This window comes from Homo sapiens, chromosome X, assembly GCF_000001405.40.
Source record: "Homo sapiens chromosome X, GRCh38.p14 Primary Assembly".
Lineage (NCBI taxonomy): Eukaryota > Metazoa > Chordata > Mammalia > Primates > Hominidae > Homo > Homo sapiens.
The window spans coordinates 151,948,019-151,974,878 of NC_000023.11; the positions used below are offsets into that span (position 1 = coordinate 151,948,019).

At 46.3% G+C, this 26,860-nt stretch overlaps 1 protein-coding gene and 2 non-coding genes across 8 annotated transcripts; all 3 read right to left on the reverse strand.

Annotated features, from left to right (window-relative positions):
- On the reverse strand, positions 5,106 to 26,658 carry GABRE (gamma-aminobutyric acid type A receptor subunit epsilon). 6 transcript variants are annotated; one of them, XM_024452360.2, is made up of 10 exons: positions 26,552 to 26,658; positions 23,122 to 23,299; positions 22,167 to 22,384; positions 21,651 to 21,718; positions 14,405 to 14,625; positions 13,265 to 13,347; positions 11,821 to 11,958; positions 7,690 to 7,842; positions 7,350 to 7,549; positions 5,106 to 7,066 (listed from the first exon to the last, which is right to left on the reverse strand). In XM_024452360.2, the coding sequence occupies exons 4-10, from the start codon at positions 21,651 to 21,653 to the stop codon at positions 6,683 to 6,685; spliced, it is 1,182 nt and encodes a 393-aa protein (XP_024308128.1). In that variant the 5' UTR covers positions 21,654 to 21,718; positions 22,167 to 22,384; positions 23,122 to 23,299; positions 26,552 to 26,658; the 3' UTR covers positions 5,106 to 6,682. The 6 variants fall into 6 exon arrangements, with proteins under 6 accessions (XP_024308128.1, NP_004952.2, XP_047297915.1 ...); NM_004961.4 differs by lacking the exon at positions 23,122 to 23,299; XM_047441959.1 differs by having other exon boundaries at positions 23,122 to 26,658.
- MIR224 (microRNA 224) lies at positions 10,560 to 10,640 on the reverse strand. The gene has a single exon (NR_029638.1). It is a non-coding gene; the product is annotated as a microRNA 224 (primary transcript).
- Positions 11,610 to 11,694, reverse strand: MIR452 (microRNA 452). Its single transcript, NR_029973.1, has one exon. It is a non-coding gene; the product is annotated as a microRNA 452 (primary transcript).

Here is a 26,860-nt window from a genome sequence, read left to right on the forward strand (position 1 = left end):
CTTCTCCAGCCATGTCAGGACACAGTGAGAAGATGACTGTCTGTAAACCAGGAAGCAGGCTCTCACCAGACACAGAATCTGCCAGGGCCTTAATTGTGGAGGTCCAATCCTCCAGAACTATGAGAAATATTTTTTGTTGTTTATATGCTACCCAATTCATGGCATTTGTTTTAGCAGCCCAAACAGACCAAGACACCATCCAAGGTAATATTTCTGCTATGGTCAGTCCCGGCCTGCAGAGAATAACTACTTCATTTCTTAGTGGTGTTGGTGCTTCTTTGCATTCCTCGTGGTTTTGGGGAATTACATGCCCTCTGGGTCCTCTCATGGAACGTAATTGTCTTTGGGCCTCACCTAGTAGATGATAGTTCCAATCAATATATTGTAGCATGCAGATTTCCCTCAGTCTTTGAATCTTTTTTTTTTAATACTGTTTGCCGAGGCAACTCAGGCATTTCCACCTCACTCAGCGTTGATCATCACTTTCTTCAAGCTTCTAGGAGCCACTGTAGCAGAGATTTTTGACCCATCCCTTGGGTTTCTTGCCAGGTTTCAATCTCATGTCTTGAAAAACTGTCCAATGTCAATAGATTTCTGTTTATCCATTTTTATGTCTCAGTTATCTTAACAAAGGATCCTCAAAACAAGTCCCTGTGCTACCCCCCGACCCCTTCTAGTACATGGCAGTTAATTCTTATAGCTCATCCGGGGTGTAATCTTTTATCTTTTTATGAGACCTAGGACTGTCCTAACGGATTATGTCTGTTTCTTTTTTTTTTTTTTTGAGATGCAGTCACGCTGTGTCCCCCAGGGTGGAGTGCAGTGGCGAGATCTTGGCTCACTGCAAGCCCGGCCTGCTGGGTTCACGCCATTCTCCTGCCTCAGCCTCCCGAGTAGCTGGGACTACAGGCACCCGCCACCACGCCTGGCTAATTTTTTGTATTTTTAGTAGAGATGGGGTTTCACCGTGTTAGCCAGGATGGTCTCGATCTCCTGACCTCGTGATCTGCCCGTCTCGGCCTCCCAAAGTGGTGGGATTACAGGCGTGAGCCACCACGCTCGGCCTTGTCTGGATTTGATTCCGATTATTGGCTTAACAGCCAGGAAAGGAAGTTGGGGTGCTCTTGAAGCAAACACCTGTTATCTTGATGGAGAATAGTCTCCAAAAGGTCTTCCACTACTGAGAAGTGCTAACTCTTATAGGGAGGGGTGGACTACCTCTACAGGCTTTGAGAGGGTTCAGGGAAGTCTACAAAGCCTCAATCCTTGATAGCACACATCCAGATGAACTCACTCAATGTTTTGGAGTTCCAGGCTTTTCAAAACAGGGCCCTCATTTTAGCCTAATAGATAGGGCTTGGTTGGACATCTGGTCATATCTGCAAATTTGCAAATCTAACTCTCAAGTTCTGCATTTGATCCTCATCTATGCCTGATTTCCCACTGAAGGAGATAAAGTCCTCTTCGTAAGTTTCCCAAATGGCCCTCTGACTCTCTTCCTTAAATTTTAACTGTTGTTGACTATGTCCTCAGTTTCTCCTTATTTCTCTGTAGAGCATCAGTACAATCTAGTAATAACTGGCCAACTCTACCCTTGTTGTATATACAATGTTCCCCTCACAGCCTTCAAATGCCTGAATCAGCAATGGGGTTTCCCCCCAACGGGGATGTTTTCCCAGGTAACCATCAGTGAAATCTTCAGGATCTGGACTGTCACAGTGTGCCAGGTACTACCTATGCCCCATATACTACTCAAGATGGTGGTGAGTAATCCAGTCTGAGAACTCCCTTTAATTGCATGTTTTCTTGTATTATTGCAATTGGTAGACATATCCATGCTCTTGTACCCCTGTTATATTCAGTCCTGGGCTAGGAGTAGCCCAAGAACAGCATGACCTCACATGAAGCATATTTATGCTGAAGTTTGTCATTTATCAGAAATTCAAATGTAACTGGAAATCCTGTATTTGCCAAATCCAGCAACCCTTCCACAGTGGCAGGGTTAGAGGTTATATGTAGGCACAACAGCATAGCTACCTACACATTAAGGCTCATTTAGCTATTGTCCTTGCCTATAAAAGATGCCAATGGTGAGTCCCCAATATGTCACCATTCTTGAAGGAAACCAATAAGCAACTTGGGGACAAATATGGAGTCTCTTCAAAACCGGATGGAGCAATAATTCAGTTTGACTGCAATTGACACAAATTCTAGTTATGATTATTTTCCTGGAGGTCCTCAGCCAGTTGTTGGTCAAGAGCATAGTGTTTGACTATGACAAGATTTTATATAATCTTGCCAACAATATACAGAGACAAGATTTTATATAACATTGAATTGGACCCAGAGGTTCCCTTTCCAGAAAAAGGAAGGCAACACTGGGGACATGATCTGGAATTCGATTACATGCCATACTACCCTGAAACTGCTAGCCAGATAGAGTGATGAAATGGTGTATTAAAGACAGAGCTGAAGTGTAAGCTTAGGGATGATACTCTAAGAGGATGGGATCCCACTCACCAGGAAGCATTTTGGACCCTAAATCAGTTTGCACCCTATGGGGTAGAATGTACAGGTTTGGGAACTGAGGAGTAGAAGTAGAAGTTGTTTTGCTTATCCACTCCTGGTGACCCACTTAGGGGAATCTGTGGCTCCAGTTTTCATAGTTCTGGGTCCTACAGGTTTAGAGCTCTTAGCTTCCAGATTGCCAATGCCTTTACCAGGGAACACAAGAGTTCCATCGGATTTTACCCATGGCCGCTGCTTGGTCATGTTTGGCACCAGCCAAAAGAAAACAAGTCACCTTCCTGGCAGGGGTAATTGATTCTAATTACCATGAGGAGATCATGCCATTTCTTTACAGTTGGGGCAGGCAAGAATAAGTTTGGTATCCAGGGGACCCATTTAGATATCCCTTAGAAATGATAAACAAGTCCACCAGCCATGGCCTGAGAATGACATGGTATCCAGAGGCTCAGAACCTCCAGGGGTGAAGGTTTCAGTCAGTCCATGAGGTAAGCTACCTAGATAAGCAGATACTAGCTAAGGGTGAGAGGAATTCTGAAATGAGTAGTACAGGACAGAGATGATGAGTATCAGTTAAGGCCCCAAGACCAGCTCCCATAACAGATGTGTAGTAGTGTGTTTCATTAGTCTTGTAAATCCTCTAAGGAAAAGAAGCTCAACATAACCAGGGGAAGATGATTCTGTTGTGTATTTGTATGACGCAAACGAGCCTCAGCGAGGTAAGGGATGAATGATCGTGGATGCTGTAGTGTTCCACCAAGTCCTTCCTCTACCACTGCCCGTTGGGCACAGCTCTCACTTCTCCAGCTGCTGAGATTGTTGGAGGCTGACAGCCTTTAACTGAGACCGTCTCAGGCATACCCATGCTCATGCTCACATTCAGTGAGAGAATATAAGGGCCCATCCCCCTTGCCCTGATTTGTGATCATTCAGAAGGACCATCTCAGCTTGAGAACTTCTAATTTGTTAATCTGAGGCTCTTAACAGCCAATGCATCATAGTCCGATTTCTTCTCCACCTCACCTTGTTCCCTGCACTCTTCCCAAAGGCAGGGATCCAAAGAGCACTCCTCAACCAACTTCCTGCCTTCTAATCTTGGTCTCAAAGACTGCTTCCCAGAAAACCTGACCTATGAAAATGTGAAAGTGTGTTTTACTCTACATTTTTTTCCTTTTTTTTTGTTATTATTTCTTAATATGAACACTGTTTTCAATCTTTTCCTTTCTTGTTTCTGGTATTTTACGTCATGCTTAGAAATGCTTTCCCATTCCAGGAATATAAACATATTCACCCATATTGTCTTATAGTGTCTTTATGGTTTCCTTTCAAAAAGTTTTTAAATTTTTGATTCATCTGTAATTTGGATGAGGAGAGACATAGGGACCTAGCTTTATTTCTTGTTTTTCAAATGCTTAATTGGTTCCCTGTGCTATTTATTTTTAAAATTCCTTTAACGCTCCAAATTTTTCTAATGTATAATGTTTTTATCCTTTTTCCAATTTCTAGTTATCAATGCCTAACTCAGTTTTCTTCCATTGTGTTTAGTAATTGAAATGTTTAAATTATGAATTTTTCTCTAAGTGCAGTGTTGGCTGCATGTCATTCATTAATTTTATTTTTTAGATATTATGCACTTAATTATGATTTTAATTTTTTCCTTTCAAAATAACTATTTATGTGAGCTTCTAAAAATTTACCGATGTAGGGATTTTATGTATTTGTAGATTTATTACAGTGTGATTACAAAATCTGGTTTGCACTATTTCTGTGTTTCAAAATCCGTTTAAATATGACTGCTTACAAATTTGCATGTCTACATTGCCCAAGAGCCACACTGCCTTTTTTCCTCCCTATATCTTTAGTGAGGAACTACTTTCCTAGTTCTAAAATTGTTCCTTATATTTTCTGTGAGTTTCTTGCATGCAAAGTGTTTGAGCATCATTCTAAAGGCTTTATGGCAAAAATGGCTGTTCAAATATAGCCTTTTTGTCTCCTCTTTGGTTCTCATTATTGTTTCTGAGTTCCTTTAGAGTTAGAAGTGTCACAGGATGCCAGGGCCACACTTCCCAGCATACCTTTAGACTCTCTTATTTTGAAAGGTGAATAATCCAAGGTGTCCAGGCTTGCTCCAAGCCTGGCCAGGGTATTAGCATTTCTAAGGTCCAGTCCCACTCCACTATTAAGTCCTTGTGTGACAGGAGACAAGTATCTCCTGTTTTCTGTGCCTCAGAATCCTCATCTTTCCATGGTAGAGGAGGGGAATGTTTTGAGTCTGGTGGTCCCTAGGAACCGTCTCGTTCTGATAAGGGGGGCTAGAGTGATAGGCAAGGCAAAAGGGACACGGAGCCAGCAGGGGCATAGGAGCAATTAAGGGAAACTGTAAAGGGTGCCACATACCCAGGTGCACTTCTCCCTTCATTCCCATTCCTTACTAATGAGAGAAGGGTACATGGTCCATGCCTGGCAGGTCTGGAAATTATGGATGGGAGAGGGGAGCAAACACTTGGGTCATGGATTTCAGATTTAAAACCTGGGCTGAGAACAAACTTGAACACCAGAGAAACCAGCCACACCTTGAATGCTTTGCTGATATATTTATTTACATATTTCCCCATTTCAGATGATGGTGACAAAAAGTAGATGGAGACCCCACCCTATCCACCCCCCAACAAATTACAGACACAGATTTCACTTAGCATATAGAAGCATTGGGGCATGTCCAAATTCATTCCACTGGGTTACTACAGCCAGGAGAGATTTGATCTTGGGGGCAGTCTGAGCACCTCAGGCCCAGAAATTGAGCTAAAGAGAGGTCGCCATTCTGGGCCTTGCCACTGGTGTGCCAGCAGAGGTGACAGAAGAGAATCATGGTGAACTGAGCTGTCTAGCCCTATCATGTGGTCTAGAAGGTGACAGTGGGCTCTTGGATAGCTTCCAGTGAGATCCACAGTCCCACAGAAATCTGTGACTCAGGGTTTTCATCTGCAAAATGGGGATAAGAATCCTGCCCTAAAGATGTCACAAGGCTATCATGAAGCTCCAATCAGACACAACTTGTCAAAAGTGCTTTGCCAAAGTTCCAGTGCCATACAAATTTAAGGGAATTTGATTGATTGATTGTGATGGTTAGAGTGCCCCGGGTATAACAGTGGACTGGTTTATGGGTCCAGGGGTCAAGCAAGTGATAGAACTCCGACAGTGTGCCCTGGGTGGGCACCAATCAATGGCGAGTAATGCCTGTTGCAAAGCCGAGTTTCCTTAGTTTCTTGGCCCCAGGAAGTCACCAAGGCCTAGTGCCTGGGTCAGGGCTAGGGGAAGTCACTGGGAAAGTTACAGAAAGAGTCACAGGGGTCAAAGAGAAGGAAGAGGGTGGCATATAAAGCAGGGAGTAGTTACTATAATCACACACAAAAATAGATACCCATTGGATGAAGGGCATTGAATTGGTAGTGCAGACGAAAGATGGAGCCAGCAAGGAGAGGGAGATGTCACAGCAGCAGAGAGAGAGGAATGCTGTCCCAAATAGGCTCTCTTGCTGCCCCCCCCTCTTCCTAAAGGGATAATGCCAGTGTCTATCTATCTGCAGAGAAAGGGGTAGCAGGGAGAGAGAACTGAGAACATAATAATCTGACCAAAGGAGAGGGATCTCTTCCTCCTGTTATACTGCTGCCCAGCATCTTAATGAGGTGCCAGGTATAGGCAAGCAACTAGTCGGTGCACTTTGAGGCTGAGGCCAGAACTGGGCCGAAAGCACTACAAAGGCAATAGTGGGCTTCTGGAAAAATGCAGTAATTGTCTGGTGGTCAGCATTGTTGGAAGATAGCTAATCCGCCTGTACTTAGGCATGGTTTTAGGGAGCTGATCACTAAGTGGCTGTGGTTTTGAACACTGAGCATCACGGATGCTCCTTGAAGAAGAGGGAGGTGGCCCATTTATTAATAATTTGAAATGGTCTGCTGAGAAGACTCAGTGAATGGGCCAGGTAGGGGAGAGGGGCAGCAAAGACAAACCCTCTGCAAGCTTCTGTTTGGGGAATGGGGCAGGAAAAACTCTAGTCGCTCCTGCTGCTGCTGCTGCTTTCCCCCAACTCCCTTGGCAAGGGGCTTGGACCTCCTGGGGAACTGGAGAGGTTGCCCCACAGGGTACCAGCTGGTACCTACAAGTTAAGGCAAACAAGCCAGTAGAGCACATTGAAGAAGAAGAAAGTCACTGGGAAAACAACTCTCGAGTAGTTATCCAGGCGGTAGACATGGATGCAGAGGCGGCCCTGCTGCCAGGTACTGCCCTCACAATCGGGGACCATGCAGAAGTACTTCTTAAAACGCTTGCACCACTCACAGCAGGCCAGCTTGGAGCAGAGGCTGCGGGGACCCTCAGGGCTACCTGGGCTAGGGGGCTGCTGGGCTGAGCAAGACGGGCGCTCCTCTCCATCACTTCCCTCAGTGGTGACAATCTGGCACACAAAAGCTTCCTGATGTTGGCGGGCACAGGCTCGGGAACGTGCACGGGTACGGGCATGGGCACGGCTATTGATACGAGGCTAAAATGGACAAGGAAAGAAGTGGGGAAAAGTCAAGGGAAGATAACCCAAGTCTAAGTGCTGCCTCCGGATTTTCTGGAAACTGTCTTTGGCACACCATATCTTGGCTTCTCTCCTCCAACTTCTCACCATTACATCAGGAAGTTGATTCAACCCCGCCACCACCCTGGGTAACATTCCATCACTCAGCAAGCTGACCACCCATGTGCCATAACCCCAGTACCCTTGCTAGCATGTCTCTACACTCCAAAGCCTTGCCACCACTCCCATACCCAGCTCATACATGGCGGAGTTTAGGAGAAGCATGGGCTTTTGTCTGGTTGTAGATCAGGAAGTTGAGCACAGCAAACTCCAACAGAGCGCAGAAGCAGAAGACGAAGCAGATGGCGATATAGAAATCCAAGGCTGTGATATAGGAGACACGCGGGAAATTCTTACGAGAAAAGGTGCCCAACGTGGTCATGGTCAGAACAGAGGTGATCCCTGCAAGAGCACAAGAGTGATGGGCTCAGCTCCTGACCTATGTGCGACATTGGTTAAAAGACTCCATGACAAGGCAACTCTGCCCTGGCCCAGCCAACTCCCAGCCATGTGCCTATGCGTATACCTGTTTCTCCTCTTACCTAGAGAGGTCCGGGCTGGAGCAGACTCTGTCTTGATCCAAAAGGAAACCCAGGAGAGCATCGTGGTCACGGAAGAAGGGACATAGTTTTGAAAGGCAACATAGCCAAACCGCCTGCTCACATTGAAGAAAATCGTCATGACCATGAAGTCACCTGAAAGACACAAAAAACATCACTGCATTACAGTGCTGACACGACGGTCCCCCTTAGCAGGACGTGAACAGTAAGGGTCTCATTTTTCAGCTCACAGTATTCCCTAGGATAGAGGCATGATGTGACAATGCAATACATACAAATAGGACCAGAAGAAGCCCAGAAAAAAGACTTACTGCAAGACCAATGGCCAGTTGAGAGCTAAGCCAAGGCCAGAATCTTAATAGCTTCCTTCTCAGTTCACTGTCCTACACCCAATGTCTGTCTCTGCAGGTTGGCAAGAGAGTCAGGTGAAAGTGAAAAAATCAATTAGCCTTCTAGATATCATGCCCACGCAGCTGATATCCAGATGGCTGACTAAGGGCTTCATACCCTCTGAGGCACATCACACCTGCACTGCTGGCCCTCAGAATGTCTACTCTCAGCAAATGAGACTAGGGAAGTCTGTGCTGTGGTGGAGAAGCACAGAATGCTTTTGGCCTCCTTTCTGCACATTCATGTGATGGCAAAATGCCTTCGTGAGTGAGCACTGCTCCACAGGTGGTCAAAACCGGCACTAGCCTGCTCCCCAAAGTTTTGGTGGCTCCCTGTTTCACATGAGCTATACAGACTATCTGCACTCTGGAATCTGATGCTAAAGGCCCACCATGACCCGGCTCCCACTGACATTTTCCACACGCACCTTACCCAAAGCCAATCCCATCTGCTCACAGATTTCCTGAGATGGCCTGCAATTTTACACCAAGATTCTAACCCTGGACTCTTTGGTCTTAGTCTATGACCCCTAACCCAAACTGAGTGTTTCAGGGAAAGAGAAGAAAAAGCTTAAAATGAACATTTCAGTCAGCCCTCCAGAAGTCAGGTCTGTGGCATACACATCCACAGGGCAGACTGAGGTCCTCACAGTCACTTGGACATTGTGTCCTTGGTCATGGCTCTCAGCTAGACGGTCATGGCTCCTCCGGGACCTGATGACAACCTATATCTCTAGTTGGCATCTTCTTTTGTAGCATTCATGCTGCTTTATGCTCTGACACACCCTCCCCAAGCACTCTGCTGCTATCATGACTCCCAGGCTGGTGTGGGCTTTTCTCTGAGCCCAGGACATCATTTTCCACTTTCAGCATCACATTGCAGTTGCAATACTGTAAAATTCCTAGGCCTATAATTAGGTCGTCTTTTAAGTCCCTTCAAGGCAGGGCTCATGCAGGCCCTGTGGCTTAGCCCCTGCCCATCCAAGCTCAGAACAGCCTGGAACCCAGCAGACACTCAGCAACTCTTGCTCCTGTCAGGCAACAGCTTTGTAAAGCAGACCAGAACACTAACCTGTCCGTGTGTCCTCCTATTTTGGAAAGTGGATCAACTGCCCAGCAGGTCTGGGTGGGCTGGAGCTGAATGAGAAGAGCAGCCTTTCGTACTCACCTTGGCAGCACTGAAACTCAAGGAGCAAAGCTTCTCAGATTCTTCTGGAAGAAGGCAAGGGAGCGACCTGTTGTCAGTGGGAAACCTGTGTGTTGAGTATAGCTTTGGGATAGAACTCCTCCAGAGCTGCTGCACGGACCACCCTCGCACTTGCCTACTGGCCAGAATGTATTTATCAAAAGTCCTCTTGCCGTGGGATCTTGACTGCAATTTAAGACACTTCTAATTAGTTATACCCAGGCCCTGCAAAATTGCTGGGTTTATATAATATATTCTTGTTGCACGAAGATTTATTATTCTGTTGGATGATTCTATTTTAATTTTATTTATTCTGGCCAAAAAAGAACCTTCTCCGCTCGTCAAGAGATGCCAATTTGTCTTGAAGGACAAGAGAAAGATGCTAACACACACTTTCTTCTTCTTGAGGAGTGAGAGAAGCACGGGTAAGGAAAACAATATATCTGGGGCTGATGAACCAAAGCAAAAAAATATATGCTAAAGATGGTTTTCTGCTCAAACTCTTATCCTCTTTGACCAGATCATGGTTGGTCACTGCAGTGTCAGAGGGACACAATTAAATAGACCATGTCCAGAGGACTGGGACTAGAAGAATGAATGGACCCAAAGCTTTGAAGAATAAGGGAAGAAAAATAAACTAGGGCTATGTAGACTACAACAGACTATGATCCATGCCGGGAATGATGATGTTGATCGTTTAATCTCGGTCCTGTGAAACAGTGGCTGGACTAATGTAACCTGGACAGTTCCAAGGAAAAAGAACTAAGCTTAATGTGTGGAACTTCCAGAGACTCCAATTTCAGAAGAACAGGGAGAGTTTTTTGATGAACAGAACTGTCTAGAGAAGAAGGAAACCTCCTTGTAAGACAGTGAATTCCTGACCAGCAATAATATTCCATCAGAGGCTCCACAGCCATCAGTGAAGGGCAAGCCTCTCTCTGGAGGCAGGGCTGGACTCTCTTAGAAGCTCCTGAAGCAGAGATTCTCTGGATCAAGGTCCAAGATGGCCAGAGTAGCAGGCTACCACTGCATTCTGAACCCTTAATCGCCGAGCACGTAAGTATGCTCCAGATGGAGAGACCTGCCCCAGGGCCCAACTGGAAGAGTTTGAGACCAGTCCCAAAGATAACTCTGACATTGAAGGAACCACGTCTCCAGATCAACTAGTCTCCAGCAGAGGAGAAAGAAGACCTCTTTTCTCCTCAAGAATCCTCCTCACTCCCAAGGAGGTCTGGTGCTTACCTACTGTCATTGCTTTGATGATGATGCTGGCTCTGGGGCTTTGTAGTCACTAGGGCACCATTTTGAAACAATGCACAATCATCTACTAAACGGAACCACTAGTGACTTGAAAGCCCCTGGGCCTTATCTTCTCTGTCACTTTTGATGATGGGTCCCCACCTATCCGGGAAAAGCTGAGGTGCAGAAAACCAAGAGGCAGGCCCATGGTTAGCTGGCAGAAGAGCAAGGCTCCCAAGTCAAAGGTAGTAAAACCGCTTCCCCAGAGTCCCCAAGAAAAAGGGCAAGTATTTTTAAGGTAGCCCAGCCCTCTGCCCCTGCCTAATACTGTGCAAGCAAAGCTCTAGCCACATGAGCATGAGCTTTCCCTCATCCAGAGACTGACTCAATAAATGAAACAAAAGCAGATTTTCTGCCTAGTCACATGGTAGCAGAACAAGATGCCTCTCACGACAAATGGCTGGTTGGGTGACTGGCTCCATCCACATTCTGGAAACGATGAGGGCAGTGCCTTCACTGCCCTGAACTTGGTCAGGATGTGTGAAGAGTGTTTCCAGGGTTGCTCTGGGAGCTACCCTGGGGAGGTCCCTTGGCTCCTCATTCAGGTCACCTAGGAACATAAGTGAAGGTGCTCACATCTAATTGGGAGCTGAAGTGTAAGATACCCAGGACCTTCCCCTTTAGTCTTTGTCAGAGAAAAGGTCAGAAAACCAGTGGCCACTATGTCTATGTGGAATCCACCATGAAGCCTTTGATAAGAATCTGTGCTTTTCAGACTTGTTCCTTTAAGATAAATGTCAATGCAGCAGCCAGTGTAGCTGCTGTAACTTCCTCCAGACTTTCCCAGCCTTAAACTAGCTGACATTAGAACTCTAGCCTCCACCTCCCACTACAATGGACTTTGCTTCCCATTCAACCAGACTGGATTGGTTCTGGGTATGGAGAACTCACACGAGCTCCATTCCCCAAAGTCATCCAAAGAGGTCAGAGTTGTAACCTCGAAACTGAAGGGTCTGCATGAAAAAGCCAGCTGCACATTCCGACAGCAGCAGAACTTTATCTACTTACCTAACCTCTCAAGGAGCTTGGCAAAGCACTTACTTCTTTGCAGATGAGACTGAGACATAGTTACAAAGTCTCAGTTTCCTCTGCAAACAGTTGTAAGTGCTTAGCAATTATAAGACAGGAGCCATGTCTTACAATGTTTGCACGGGATGACTGCAAAGCATTTGTATGGATGGCCATCTCCAATCATCCCTACCACCTTCCTGGACTTCCGCCAAGCCCTGGCACGCTTACCAACTGGGGTTGTGATTATTTCAGTTTTGTTGCTCACTCCTGTAAAATCAAACTGGAAGAGCTTCCAGGAGTTCTTCTCATTGATTTCAAGCTTGAAATTTTCCCACTTGTAGATCATCTCATTCTCAGGATAGGAAACTGGAAAGGAATGTGAGAAAGAGGGTCTTATGAGACTTGGAAGCCCACCTGAGGTCTCCAATAGCATGAAGTCAGCCTGCACAATGCCTTGGAGTCCTGTCTCTGGCCTCACCAGCTGTGGGACCTTGCCTCTCTTACCTCATTGTTGAAGTCCATTCAATGAGTGCGTTTACTGAGCATTCCTCAGTATCAGGCCCTAGGCCAGAAATACAGAGATGAGCAAGGCATGAACCCTACCCTCAAGCAATCACATTTAATTTTATAAGACAGTGAGTATACTACTGTGATTTTTGGAGGAGCTCTGAAAAACCTATGTCCACAGAACAGCGGGGAAACAAAGTAGATAAAGGTCACTTGGGGACATACTCAGAAAAGACTTCATAAAGCAGGTGATATTCCCATTAAATCTTGAAACTCAAGTAAATATTCTCAATAAGAATGAGGTTGAAGGGGTTAAGGGGCAGTATAGAAAGGTGAAACACCTGGTGTATTGTGGAAAGGACAAAAGTTCAGGATGGCTAGCTCACAGAGGATGAGGTGCACAGGATTGGGTGGCAGGGTCCAGTTCATGAATGGCCTTGAGGTTCATTCTAAGGAATTTCAAATTGATCCATGAGAGTTAACGGCAGATTCGAGACTAAGAAGTGACCCAACCTAGGTGACCCTTCAGCTAGGTCACTCTGGTCCTTCTGTGAGGACAACATGTTGTCAAGGAGGCCAGTGTAGTAATCCAGGCAGAATTAAATTAATGCAGGTGGAAGTCAAAGCTGTACAGGGTGCAGAGAAATAGACAGCATCGATAGAGACTGGGAGGAAACACCAACAGGATGTGCTGATTGATTAGATGCAGGAGGTGAGGGAGAGGGAACATCAAAGTTCTTGATTTGCGCAACTGGGTGAGTGATGGTCCTCTTCAATGAGACAGATGGGAACCCAGAAGCAACACACTTGTTTTGGTGGTAGAGGTTTGGAGGAGACAATGAATTTCATTTTGGACATGTGCAGTTTCAAAGTGAAGATGTGGCAAAAGTCCAGGTGGAAGATAACAAAGGCCTAAACCAAGGTAGTGCCAGTGGAGATGGAGAGGAGCAGACATACTTGAGATACGCTTCAGAGGCACGTGGAAGGGATGAGCAACACAGTATTGTTGGCAGGAAAGGAAATGAGGGTGGAGGATGGAAGTCCTGCACAACCTTGGCAGCATTTTAGAAGAAAAGCAGAGGCAGAAAAATGTAAATGGCAAGGATGAGAAAAAGAAGGAGCCCAGCATGTTTCTGGGGCCCCAGAAACTTAAGAAGGTACTCACAGCTAGAGAAAGATAGAGGGCAAGAGTGAGAATCCATTGGAAATCTGAGCATGTGGAGTGAGCATCCGGCATCAATGGTCATCCTGGAAGGGAGAAAGGAGCCTCATCAGGCTGGCCCTAAGCACTTCCGTATCCACCCAGCTTTGGTCTAGGGACTACCACCAATGAATGGCCAGAGTCAATTTTTTTCTTTGTTTGTTTGAGACAGAGTCTCACTCTGTCACCCAGGCTGGAGGGCAGTGGCGTGATGTCAGCTCACTGCAGCCTCTTGCCTCCCAGGCTCAAGCAATTCTCATGCCCTAGCCTCCCGAGTAGCTGGAATTAGTGCCAGCACACCCTGCTAATTTTTGCATTTTTAGTGGAGACAGGGTTTTCCCATGATGGCCAGGCTGGTCTCGAACTCCTGACCTCAAGTGATCTGCCTGCCTCAGCCTCACAAAGTGCTGGGATCACAGGCGTGAGCCACCGTGCCTGGACCTCGCTAGAATTTAAGACAAAAAGCTCAAAGGAGAGATAACAAGAGAGAAAACAAAACAAAACAAAACAAAACAAAACAAAACAAAACAAACAAACAGCTTAGAAGTATCTGGTTACTCTGGGCTCCATCATTAGAGAAACGTATGGAGCAACTTCGATCGGCTTTTGTTTTCTCGCCCAGCCTAGTTTCCAGGACCTGCCAACATCCTCCCTGCTATCCCCCACACACAACCTTCCCCTGCTGGGAATTCAAGTATCCAACTTGATCTTAGGTACCTTTGCCACTACCGTGCTGCTGCTCTGCCTGAACAATTCCACCACTGTGGACGTATCTTTGTATCGAGTGCCCACGTAGGATGGAATTGTCTAGATAATGCAGTCATACTGGCACATCCTAGTTGAGGGAGCTCTGGACTCGGAGCCAAGTAACTGAGTACCAGTTCCAGCTCTGCCACAAACTTGGTGTGTGGCTTTAAGCAATATCTTTCTATTTTGAGGCCTCTATATCTGTTACATAAGGGGGCTGAGCTCATGGTCTAGGAAAGCTGGACAGGCCCTTAGAGGTATCATTCAGGATGAGATCTCTGCCCATGGATCTTTAGCTAAAATTATCAGAAGGGGAGAGAGAATTCCAGGAAGTGAGACTCCAGAGGCTTGACATACCTAATTGTGTACAACACCTTGCCATCCTTGTAGATGCGGACCATCTGGTTGGGCATGGTGATCTCATGCTCGTGGGTCCTCTTAGAATTCCTAAAAAAGGTGTCCGGGATCCATAGCTGGCTCACCACATTGCCATTCAGAACAAGAGACTCAAAGGTGTCGTTGTAACAGAGGCGTTCGTCGTACCAGGTCTGGGAGAAGATGATGTCAATGGTGTATTCCTGGTGGGAAGGACAGAAAAGCACATACTTGGGGATGAACAGAAAAAGGACATTCACATGCAAACATATTGTTTGCCACTCCCTAACCTAGAATCCTAAAGGCAATGTGGTGGAATGCATTGAGCACTAGACCAGGAAGCAGGAGTCAGATGAGGTCCCTTCTCTCTGCTCAAAGACTCTTCCAATGTCAGAACTAGAAGGGAACTCAGAGGTTACCAAGCCTAATGATCCCAAATGAGAAGTCAGTCATGCCCTGCTTGATTACCGTGAGCAAGGGGAGCTAGGTCCTCACATCATGCAGCAGTTAACACAATTCTCACACAACTCAGGACAATAGAAAAGTTTGCCTTAAACAAAGCTCCCTACTACTTTCTCTTAGAATCCCCACTGTGCTCTCAGGTAGCACATAGAGCAAGTCTAGTTTCGGTTCCAGAGGAGAGATCTCCAGAAATGATACGTCATTGAATCTGTCTTTTTCCCACATTTCTGAAGTCAGGGTGCACCTTACAATTGACACATATCTTTAATGGGGCATTTCTTATTCTTTCTTGACAGTGGCTTAAATTGGTTACGATCTTAAATCAGAGCCAACATTGAATCAAGGAAAGGCACTTGAAGACTGGAATCTTGCCCTCCTGAGTCTTTTCTCTAGGGTAGACATTCATGACTAAAAGTTTTCAGCTTCAACAACCCAACCACTTGTTTTACCAATAGATCTGCAAGGATTGCACAGTCAACTGACAGTCTGCTCACAGGCGACTCTTTTCACCAAAGTGTGATAGTACTTGTTAGTACTTGGTCCATAGCACTACTACTCACTTTGTGCTGTGTTTATCCTACAAGGTCAACCACACATTTGAAAATGATTCCACACTTTGGGAAAGTGTTGCCCAACAGAATGGCAAATGTGACTATGGTCCATGCAGATCTTACTGACATGGAGCAAATTGAAAGACACTACTGGATAAAACTGAAATCTAGAGCACCTTCCTGGTCACACCATAGTCAAGACTACTGGATTAATGCAGCTGAATTAAGGAAGCCTATGATCACTAGGTATACATGATCAACATGAACACAACAATGGGATAGGTGAGATTTGGTGATCTTTAAAGGTACTGTTAGCTCTGACGTTATAGATTCTGAGGATTTTCATTAGCACATGTTTCAGGTTTGTGTGTCACCACAACTATCCAGTTGTTTTTATGTTTCCTTATAAGTGAGAATAAGAGAACATTTCACTTAGGCAAACGATAAGACAACATAGGACTTGATCACTAAAAATGACATGTCTGTACACTACGCCCACACGTGGAAATATAAACATGGAATTATGTCAAAATAAAAAAAGATTAGAAAATATCCAGAAGACACTGACTGACACTACAGAAAACTGAATGCGCCCTACAAATAAATGATTTCAAGGTAATGTGGAGGCAAGGAGAACTGTTAGACTCTAGTGACAATTAGTCTCACTTTTTTTTTTCTGTAGAATTGTTTCCATTTATAATCAAAGTCTTAAATAAATGTTCTTGTGACCTTGGCTAAAACTCGTATCTTTCTCTGTTATCCTCTTTGTTAAATGGGAGACTATAAATAATTTGTAAGTGCCCTCCTCCTCAAAACAACTGCCCTGTTTCCAGAGCTGACATTGACACCCTCCCTTTACCAGTGGGCAAAGGTTCCATGCTATTCTGTGATGGGCTTATCAAGTAGATGGACCCTTTGGAATCCACTTAGGTTTGTACAGAGGAAGGTGGCATGAGTTTGGCTGTAGGAGTTTTCTATTTCCAGGTGTTCCAAAATAAAATATAATTCCCAACTAGATCACAGTCTCAGAGGATACATTTCATCTAGAAACAGACAGGCGATGGTGGCTTAATTCCATGGGCTGGGCTCTTCATCTTATTGCTCCTGTGTAGGCTGTGATGCTACTCCAGCCAGGTCAACACCCTCTCAGTCCCCACATTTCCATAGTAAATCAAAGATCCCAGCTCAAAATTGTTTTAAAAATTTACAAGCACACACACCATTGATTGCATACAGTGGAGTTTCCCCTTTCAGCTTTTATTTGGGGAGCACCAGTGTTAATTAACCCCAATCCTTCATTCTCCAGAATTATAATAAAAATGAAGTGTTTTGGAGGCCAGGCGCCATGACTCAAGCATGTAGTCCCGGCACTTTGGGAGGCACATGTTTAAGGTTTGTGTGTCACCACAACTATCCAGTTGTTTTTATGCTTCCTTAAAACCTTCTGGGAGGTTTTACAGCCTTCTGGGAGGGCGGATCACGAAGTCAGGAGTTGAAGACCAGCCTGGCCAACGTGGTGAAACCCCATCTCTACTAAAAATACAAAAATTAGCCATGCATGGTGGCAGGCATCTGTAATCCCAGCTACTCAGGAGGCTGAGGCAGGAGAATGGCTCGAACACGGGAGGCGGAGGTTGACGTGAGCAAAGATCGTGCCACTCCACTCCAGCCTGGGTGATGGAGCGAGACTCCATCTCAGGGGAGCTGGGGGGGAAAGGAGTGTTTTGAGTCACAAGAGAAACCTCTATTTAGTCTCATGTTTTTTAAACAAGGAGAATCTTTTTTTATTTTGCTTATTTTGTTTTTCCTTTCAAATAAGCACCTGTAACCTCTGAATGTGTGTGTTCGTGTGCATAGATATATCCGTGATTATTTGGTCTCCAGATATTGTCTGTCCCATAAAATGTCTGTTAAACATCAACAATGATATTGAATAGGAAGAAGCTAGAAATGTGCACCACTGGTGGTGAAGGGAGAAAAAAACCCTACTGCAATAGAACTCCAAGCAGCTCGAACAGCAAGTACCACAAGCAGGCCAAGGCAGAACTCTGAGTTATTTTAGAGATAAGGAAACTAAGGCTTTATGAGAAAGGGGGCTATCCAAAGTCACACAAATAGTCAATGGCAGCCTGGCCCTGGGATGGCTTTCACTTGCACCAACAATCTCTTTAGGTACCAAGGTCCAATTTTCTCTGCAGAATCCCTAGGTCTTTCCGCTGACTTCTTGTGCATCAAACAATGAATACCCACAACCATGGAGGCGGGCACAGCCCTCGGGGAAGAAATCAAGAAAATCCCTGATTGCCTTTGCTGGCCAGGACAAAAGATTGTAAAAGCAGCCACCAAACTGCTGGGGGCCAGCCATGGAAGGGAAGACTGAGAATGTTCCCTGGAGTAGGCCAGAGAAGCAGACAGAAAAGAGCTGGCAGAGCCTGGCTCCCATTTGAATGAGAGCCTCTGACCCCGACCTGCCCCACCTGCCTCCACAAATGTCTTCCAAGTGTTTCTACTGTCCCAAGTGGCTGGCAGTCTAAACTTGGCCAGCAGAGCCTCCTTCATTCCCAGGCCTCGTGAACTGCTTGGTAGCCAGTGGGAAGCCTTGCCCTCTGCACTCACACTGTGTTTATGCTCTATGTTATGAAGTGTTTCAAATAAGCATTTAATTTCTATTCGACAACTGTAAGTTCATTACATATCAACCGATAACTAACAGTTCACTTTTTCCCCAGTTTGACAAAGGAGCTTGCGATGTACATCCCTTTTAGCTCAGCCGAAACTCTAGAAATTCAGTGTTTTGGAACTAGAATCAACTGCGATAATTACCACAGCAAGAAAAAGCGTTAGCAACTATCGATGCTATGATGGGCAGCGATTCCCAGATTGTTCATTGCCTTTTAATCTCAGACTGGGTGTTACACAACTGTGCACTCAGGTTTCCTTCCCGGAGGACAAGGCCTGCTTTCTAAACAACATCTGACTGAAAGGTGTTGAAACTCCCCTCAAGCAACTACACCAACTATGTACCCAATGCTGGGACTCACATTTCTGAGAAGTCTCAGCTTCCTCAAATGTAAAACAGGGATCCATATCCTAACGGCAGCTTTGGCTTCCATGCAGGCTGTCATGAGGATCCAAGGAGACAAGAATGTACTGGGTACTGGTATGTTCTGTGACTATGTGGCAGAGACGTGTGTCCCCTCCTTACCAAGTACACCACAGAACAGGGACCTCCCACAGCTTTAAAGAACTATTTGGAACCATGTAGAAGGCAAGGCATTTCAGGAAAATTTAACACCACATGTGAGGGTTTGGAATTTTCAAAAGACACTTGGCTCAGGCTAAAGTGCCACCTTACTGGCCAAAGAAAATAAAGTTGCTGTCTCTTTTCTGAACCAGTCCTGTGTTCCATGCTAGGTTTGGTGACTGCTGGGTTATTAGACTATATCCTTCAAGCATTGTCAGGTGAGGCCACTGCTGGCAGCATGAATAGCCATGGAGCAAGGAGAGACAGCGCATTCAGCTACTGTGAGTGGGGCTACTGCTCTGCTACAAGGGCTCTTGTAGATAGAAATTGGCTTCCCAAACAGCAAGGAGATTTTAGTCACAAATTCTCCACTACTCTTCAGTTTTACAGGATGCTCTGTCTCACCCAGAAAGCAAACCGAAGCATCTTGGCGCCCCCTGCTCCATTTGTCAGTGTGTGGTTCTCTCCACTCCACCTAAGGAAATTTAGCCACCACCAAATGGGTGGAGATTGACATGCTAGAAAAGAAGGGGCAAACCAGCTTGTGGAAATTAGACCGGTTACTTCCAAATCAGGTTGGCAGTGCCTTAGTCAGCCAAAGGAGCAGAGAACTAGAAGAAAGGAACAAATAAATAGCTATGCAAATTTCTGGGAGCCATGAGGTTACTGTGGACTGAGCACTACATTTGGCTTTTGGCATGCTGAAGAGGATAGGCAGAGACTGCTGTAGGAGGCTCTCTGCCCAGCTAGAATAGCATCGTGAGCCACTTTCCCCACTCCTACACCAATGACCTGAAAGGGTCAACAGTGACAACAATGGTGGGACCACAAGCCCTCAACCTCTGGTTCTTGCACAGAACTTAGTGCTTCTTAGTTTATAAACAATGCTAGCAAAATTAATTGCTAAATTCATACCCATTTTTAAAAGGTAAATTGCAAGACTAAAAGGAGACTACAATTCTCATAGTGGTAAACGCACTGGTAGCAGCAAAAAGTAAATCTGATTATCAAGGGAAGAGTCAAGAAAACCCCACCAATTTTAAAATGTAGACAGAAACTCAAAAACATCTATCTGCTCTCATGCTTCTGTTCTTGTTAGTTCTCAGCAACTCAATTCTAGGAGTTGCTCTAACAGAAGAACATCATGACCATGTGTAGCCGGCAGACTCTTGAGATGTCCTCCAGTGCTCTTCACTTCCTGGTGTTTGTGCCCTTCTGTAATCCCTTGACAGGGATTACACTTGACTTGGGATGGACCTCATGATTTGCATCTGATGAGGAGAATACCACAGAAGCAATGGGATGTCACTCCTAAAATTAGATTATAAAAAGTCCGTGATTTCCATCTTGAGCACCTTCTCTCATACTCTTCCTCACTCTGAAAGAAGCCAGCTACCATATTGTGAGCTACCCTGTGGATAGGTGCACATGGCAAGGATGGAGGGAGACCTCCAGACCACAGCCAGAGAGGACCAGAATCCTGCCAATCCTGTGAGTGGTCTTGGAAATGGATCCCCCCTCAGTTGAGCCTTCAGATGAGACTCCAGCCCCAGCTGACACCTTGATTACAGGCTTGTGAGAGACCCTGAAACAGAGAACCCAGCTAAGCCATGCCTGGATTCCTGACCCACACGAACTGTGAGATAATGATTATTTGTTGTTTTAAGACACTATGTTTTGGGGATAATTTGTTACATAGTAATGCATAGGTAGTGTGCCTGAAGAATCAGGCAGCCAAAGCCTCATGGTTTGGGAGTGGGGAACCTTGCTTTTCCACTTAGCCTATGCGAACACCTTGATTTTCCATGAAGGTTAACTTAGCATTGAGGGTCTATTTGCAAGGCCCATCTCAGAGCCAAGGCTCTAACTCACCCAGTCACATGGCACTTTTTGAGTACCTGTGAGTATGCCAAAATTTTGTTTGCCCCGGGCCAAGCCATGTCTGTGGCTGTGACGGAGTTGCTTACCAAAGCCTTCCTCAGTGTCAGGCTCTGCAGATGCAAGTGATTCTTGCAGAGCATCATTCATCACTCATTTGCTTAGCTAACATATATGGAGCCCTTGACATCAAGGAGTTCATGGAGAAGACAGCAAGGCCGACATACCACAGATAATTACAATGAAATGATGTAGGCAAGATCAGGTAAACACCTGTGATATAAGCTGGAAAGATGTAACTGCCGAAGAGAAGAATGTGGTATGAGAAAGAAAGGAGCAATTAACAGGTGTGGAGGTCAGGGGAGATGCCATGAATGAGATGCTGTCTGAGCTAGATACTGAAAAAGAAGGCAGCTGACAAGTAAGAAAGTGGAACAATGGCATACCAAATAGAAGATCACTTGAATGAAAGCTCAGAGGTACAAGGTGGTCTGGGAACACCAATATTCTAGTGTGACCAAAGCACGTGGTCTCTAAAAGGGTGAAGAGGAATACAACCATGGAGGGCCTTCAACTGCATGTAGTAAGCAGTGCTGGGACTGCAGGAGGTGCATCACTTGGGAGGCCAACTTAGTAGGTGGAGTAGGTGTATTCTAGGTGGGAGATGATGAAAGCCAAATGGGGGCAGTGCTGACACTATGATGATACGAGTGGAAAAGGAAAGAAGGAAGTAGAGCAAAAATATAGAACAGTCTTAGAGCAAGAGCTAGTAACTTTAGACTTATGTCCATACAATAATTATCAGAAGAAAAGAGGCAGTCCATTGTGGTGTTTAACATTGCTTTATTATTTCTATTTTGAATGAAAAAACTGGAAGATATGGTCATGATTCTGAAGATCCTCTTCAAGTAGCAAGGGACTTACCTTTTCCAGTCTCATTCTCAAACCAGTGGTTAAAAAATCCCTTTCTCCCTCCAGAAAATAAATTATTGGAGTTGTTACAGAAGTACAGAGCAGAAAGCAGAAGTCTGTGGAAGGTCCCATAGGTCAGCCCCTGGGCTAGGAAATAGTACTAAAAAAGCTTAGTACTCACCATGTCTAGGATAGAGAGAGGACCAAGGCTGTTGACGGAGATCTCAACAGTGACCACAGTGGGCTTCTCTATAAGGGAAGCAGAAGCAGCAGAGGGTAAGTGTCAAACAGGCGCATGGGACGGGGGAGGAAGTGGTCAGAGGGGATGAAAGGGGAGTCAAGTAAGTGTTGGACCACACAGTTTCAGCATCTAATCCTATTTCTTTATTTATTCTTTCATGGCAAAACCAAGCTCACGGACTGTTAAGAATTGGACACACATCTTGAAGATCAACAATCTAGTTTAGTCCTCTCATTTTACCACTGGAAAAACTGAGGGCGAGAGAAGGGAAAAGTCTTGATCAAGGTCAATGACACTGCTGAGAATAGAGTTAATATCTCTTACCTGACAGGTCAATAGCAGATGTTCCTGTCCATGAGCATGGCACCCTCTGTTACTGCCCAGGTGCATTCTCCATGCCTATGCCCTCAACCCCTGGACCCTCTAGGAGGGGAAGAACGTCGTTCTGCTCCTCACCTCCAATGCCAGGGCGCAGTTTGTGGTCATAATTACTCAGGATAGTGTTCAGGATGCGAGAGGCTTCTGGCAGTTTGCCAACTCTGCTCCCAGTCTCAGTCTCAGTTGACTTTGTTTCCTCAGAGAGGAGCTGATTTTCCAGAGGCTGGGGCTGGGGGCCATAGACAACATCACGGGAAGAGGCTTCATTCTTTGATTCAGTCTGAGGTCCCTCGACCCTAGAACATTCAAACGAAAAATGAAGCTCTGCCCTGCACTCTGTAGGGGCCCCAGCTAGTGCCTCTTGGGACAGAAGCAAACCAAAACAAGTTTTCAACACAAAACCTAGTTAAATTGTGACTGGTAATAGCAAATTATAAGACAGTGACAGATTAGGCTTGTGAATTTCTTTTAAACCTTGCTGCTCTTTGGGGACTTTCTATGCTGTCCCTCTTTTATGATCACTCTTTTATTTAAGAAAAAATCAACAAAACCAAGACCTAGATTTTAAAAGAATGTTACACGTGAAATGAAGAGGGCATTTATGTCTGAGCGCTGGCCCACTGTGACTAGCCTTGGCCTCTAGTCAGCCTGACCAGCACCAACCAGGAGTGAGGAGCAGGCAGAGGGCCAGGGCTGAGAGGAATGCTTGCGAAAGCCAGAGCGGCCTCTCCCAGAGAGGACCAGAAAATTGTGGGAATATTTTGCGGTTTTGTTGGTTGTGTAATACTCGTTGCACTGGGGGCAGGGGAAGGGGATGAAGGGAAGGAGGCTAAAGAGCAGCCTTTGTGGGTGTCTAAACAGGAAAGGCAGGAGTCCTCCACCCACAGACAGCCATCCAGGAACTGGCTGCCCAACAGGAGTCCACCCTGAGCTCCACAGCCATGCACCACAGCCAAGAAAAAGAAGAAGATTAGTAAGAATAATTGAATTAAACAAAAATGTTAAAGGCCATCTGCCAAGGTATGAAACTCACCGATGGTGTTAGAAGTCCGGATAGTGCTGCCTTTGCTGGGAGGCAGTGACAAAGGGGGCTTCTGAGGTCCTGCTCACATTCGGGTCCTTGATTTGGCTTTCTTTACACCGCTGTGGTCATATTCTGACAACTCATCAGCTGTACACTTATGATTTGAGCACTTCTCTGTATACATGTTCTAATTCCATAAAAAGTGTTTTTAAAAATCAAAATGCCCCACTTGCTAATATCTGGATCTTATTTTATTTAAAAGCAAACTCTTGAAAAACAAACAGAAATCATTTATGACACAATAGGAGAGATTTGAACACTGAGTGGACAGTTGAGACATGAATAAATTATTCTTTAATTTTTGGTGTAATTATGGTATTTTCTTATGTTTGTGAAATATTAATGACTAGAAATACATACTAAAACAATTACATATAAAATGATATGATGTCTGAGATATGCTTCAAGACAATCTAAGTTGGAATTGGAGGGTGGGTGGTGTAAAAGAAAATAAGAGTGGCCATGAGTTCACAAACAATGGGGGTGCACTGTTCCCCCTACCTTTATATGTCTTTAAAAAATTATAATTAAAAGTCTTTTTAAAAGCCATCGTCCCATATTAATCTGTGATACTGGAAGGCAGGAGAGTGGTTTCCTTTGGGGAGGAAAGTGTACGGGGACAGGCATTTTGGAGATGCATGCGTGTGTGTGTGTGTGTGTGTGTGTGTGTGTGTGTCTGTGTGTGTGTGTGTGTGTGTGTGTGTGTGTGTGTGTGTGTGTGTGGTGAGGGGGTTGCAATGCTGTATTTCCTGATCTAGGTGTTGGTTACACGGGCCTGTTTACTTGTGAAAAGCCACTGAGCTGTTCACTCATGATGTCTATGCTTTTCTACTGGCACGTCACACTTCCAAAAGGATTTTTTTAAGCCATAAGGCAATTTGTTTCCTAAAATAAGGGGTAAACAGGGCAAGAGACGTTGGCATGACCCCTGTATTGCGGACCAAGGGACTGCCAACTTAAGAAGCAAAATGCATTTTTTCTGCAGTATTTCAAGCTGTTAGAATTGCTTAAGTGGCATACAGATGTGCCAAATCCACACCATTTCTCATGTCTGAAGTGGCTACTTCCCATTGTGGGCGAGGGAAGAACTGGGCTTGGAAAATACAGTTTCTACTTTCAAATGCCATATCTAGAAGATGTCCTCTTTCCCTGAGGCCAAACTCCCAGCCATCTCAAAAGATAAGGGCCAGTGACTATGGGAAGAGAGGAGGAAAAATGGAGCCCTGAGACCCTGTAAAATGAGTGATGTGGCTGGAAACGTGGCACAATCAGAACTGGCAGTCAGTGGTAGACTGAGCACTGCCAGACAGGACCACCTAAACGCCTGAAGCAGCCCCTCCCAGATGTCTGAAATCCATGGACGAGATCCTCCCCGCTGCCCCAAGTTTAAAAGTGCAGAGGCAAACAAATAAACCTGAAAGCACTGAGACCACCAAAGCCCTCCTGCCCCTAGACTAGGTCTGCAATAAAAATGATATCAGAGGGTCATAAGGTGGCTTTAATCCTAAAATTGGCTTTTGCCAGTTAAAAAAAAAAAACACAACAATAAACAAACAAAACAAAACCTCATCTTGAGGTCCTTGGGGTTAAAGAGCTGCTGACAATGCATACCTTTCCCCAGCCAGCCATTAAGCTCACTTTCGGGGCTAGACAGAATAAAAACTTGAAAAACACTCACACATTGGAATAGTGGCATTTTCCAGGGCAGTTTTTCAGACATTCACATGTCTCTAGACATAATGGTCCAGCATGAAGTTGAATCTCTGCACTACCCCCTCCCAAACAGTCGACTGTTGGTGGTGTGAGAAGTGGGGGGGGGAGGGGCGCATAAGAAAAGATGTTGGATTTTTTTCTAAATCAGATCTTTTTTTTCATTCTACAGATGGACAAACTGAGGCCCAGATAGAGGAAGGACTGTGCCCCAAGTCACACAACTAATTTGAGGCTAAGCCTGGACCAGGGAGAGGTCTTCTGGTTCAGTGTGGCCCAGTACACCCCATTGTCACCTCCTCAGCTCTTTCCTGACACCACAGGTTGCTATGCTTGAAGGGCAGTTTCCATTTCCCCAGTCCCTTTTCCCTGCTGTTTTCCTCTCTGACCACCCCTTCTTATTTCCCCCACCCCAGAGCCATCTTTTGCCCTAGCCAGTCACCACGTCAGCTTTCTCAACTAGTCCACATCCCATTTTGAGGGATGTGGATGACTGGAAATTGCTAGCACGCATAGAAAGACATTTATCAAGCTCCTGCTGAGGCTAGCCCCACTCCAGGGCACCAGTGAGCCAGCAAGCAGCTACACATCCCCTTCTCTGATGAGCTAACGCAATCTGGGGTAGGGAGAGAAGCCACCCTCCCTCCCCAGAACAGACAAACAAGACACAAGCCCAGTGCCATGGAATCTTCGAGAAAGCTCCACAGATCAGGAAGCTTGCAAATTTGTGACACTTCACACACAGCAGGAACCATCTCAAAACAACAACAACAAAACGAAGCAGTCATCTTCCACCCCAAAAAGCCACAAATCCAGGGCACGACCCTCCTAGCCAAGTCTCAGGGCGAGGAGAAGGTGTGAGGGAAGATGGTTGTTCAAGGGAAACCTGAAAGGGGAGAAGGGGATTGAAATCTACGGCCCAAACCACAGACTTCAGAGGAGAATAATATTCCTGGCCTCTGGCTCCAGTCTGCCCAAGGCCCAGCAGGGTGTCTAGGGATGAGTTAAGGAAGTGGGAGGCTGTCAGCGGTGGAGAGGGGGCATAGCTGGTGCGGGAACCCTTAGACTAAACCAAAGCTCGTGCCTGAGACTGGCACCAACAGGAGCAGCGGCATGGGAAGCAAGTAATGTCAGAGTTGCCTGGCGCAGTGCCTGGAACTCAGTAGGCACTCTTAAAAAAAATGTGAGCAGCAGAGAACACACGAGGCAACACTCACACATTTTTGGCGCAGCTAAGCTCCCTCAGCCCGCGCACCCCCTTCTCAAAATGCACCTCCGGCCCCCCCAGTAGCTGAAGCCTGCCCTGGCCGGTCACCCCGGGGCCGCTCCCCTGTTCCTGCGCAAGACTCCGAGGAGTGCTTGTCACCAGGCCACCGCAGTGCTTCTGAGAGCGGGAATCCGCGAACTGGAGTCCCGTCTTCCTTCTGGCGTCCTGTCTTCCTTTTGGAGCTCCCCCTCAAGGACCCCGGGAGCCCATCCTACAGTGAGGCGGGCCGAGGCCGGCGCGCATCGAGGGGACGCGGGACTCGGCCAGCCCGCGGTAGGGCCGGGGCAAAGCGGGCGCGGGGCTCGAGGAACGCGGGGCCGCTGGGGTCCCGGGAGCCGTCCCGGCTCCCGGGGAGAGGGAGCTGGGCGCGAAGGGCTCCCGGGTCCCGGGATGGAGACTCACCTCGACTGGAGGATCAATAAGATGCCTAGGAGGACTGGAAGAACTTTGGACAACATTTCCGCGGAGACCGGCGCGACCACCTGCGCGGAGGTCGCGGCTCACGCTCTGGCCGCACTGAGCGCGGGGCGGAGGCTTTTGCTGGGCTCCAACTTTCACTCCTCCCACTCGCCCCGCCCCGTCCCGCGCTCCCCGCCCCAGGCCCGCCCCGATGGAAATCTCCGACGACGTGACGGCTGCTGCGGTGGGGAGCCGGGGAGGCTCGCGCGGGCGCGGGAAGGAGGCGGGAGCCCGGTTGCTGAGGCCCCCCGT

Coding starts and splice junctions, on each gene's coding strand:
- GABRE (NM_004961.4), bottom strand. CDS start 26,607: ATGTTGTCCAAAGTTCTTCCAGTCCTCCTAGGCATCTTATTGATCCTC. Junction 13,348..14,404: donor AAGGTGTTGTACACAATTAG/GTATGTCAAGCC, acceptor TCTCCCTTCCAG/GATGACCATTGATGCCGGAT. Junction 7,550..7,689: donor TCCAGCCCGGACCTCTCTAG/GTAAGAGGAGAA, acceptor GTGCTCTTGCAG/GGATCACCTCTGTTCTGACC.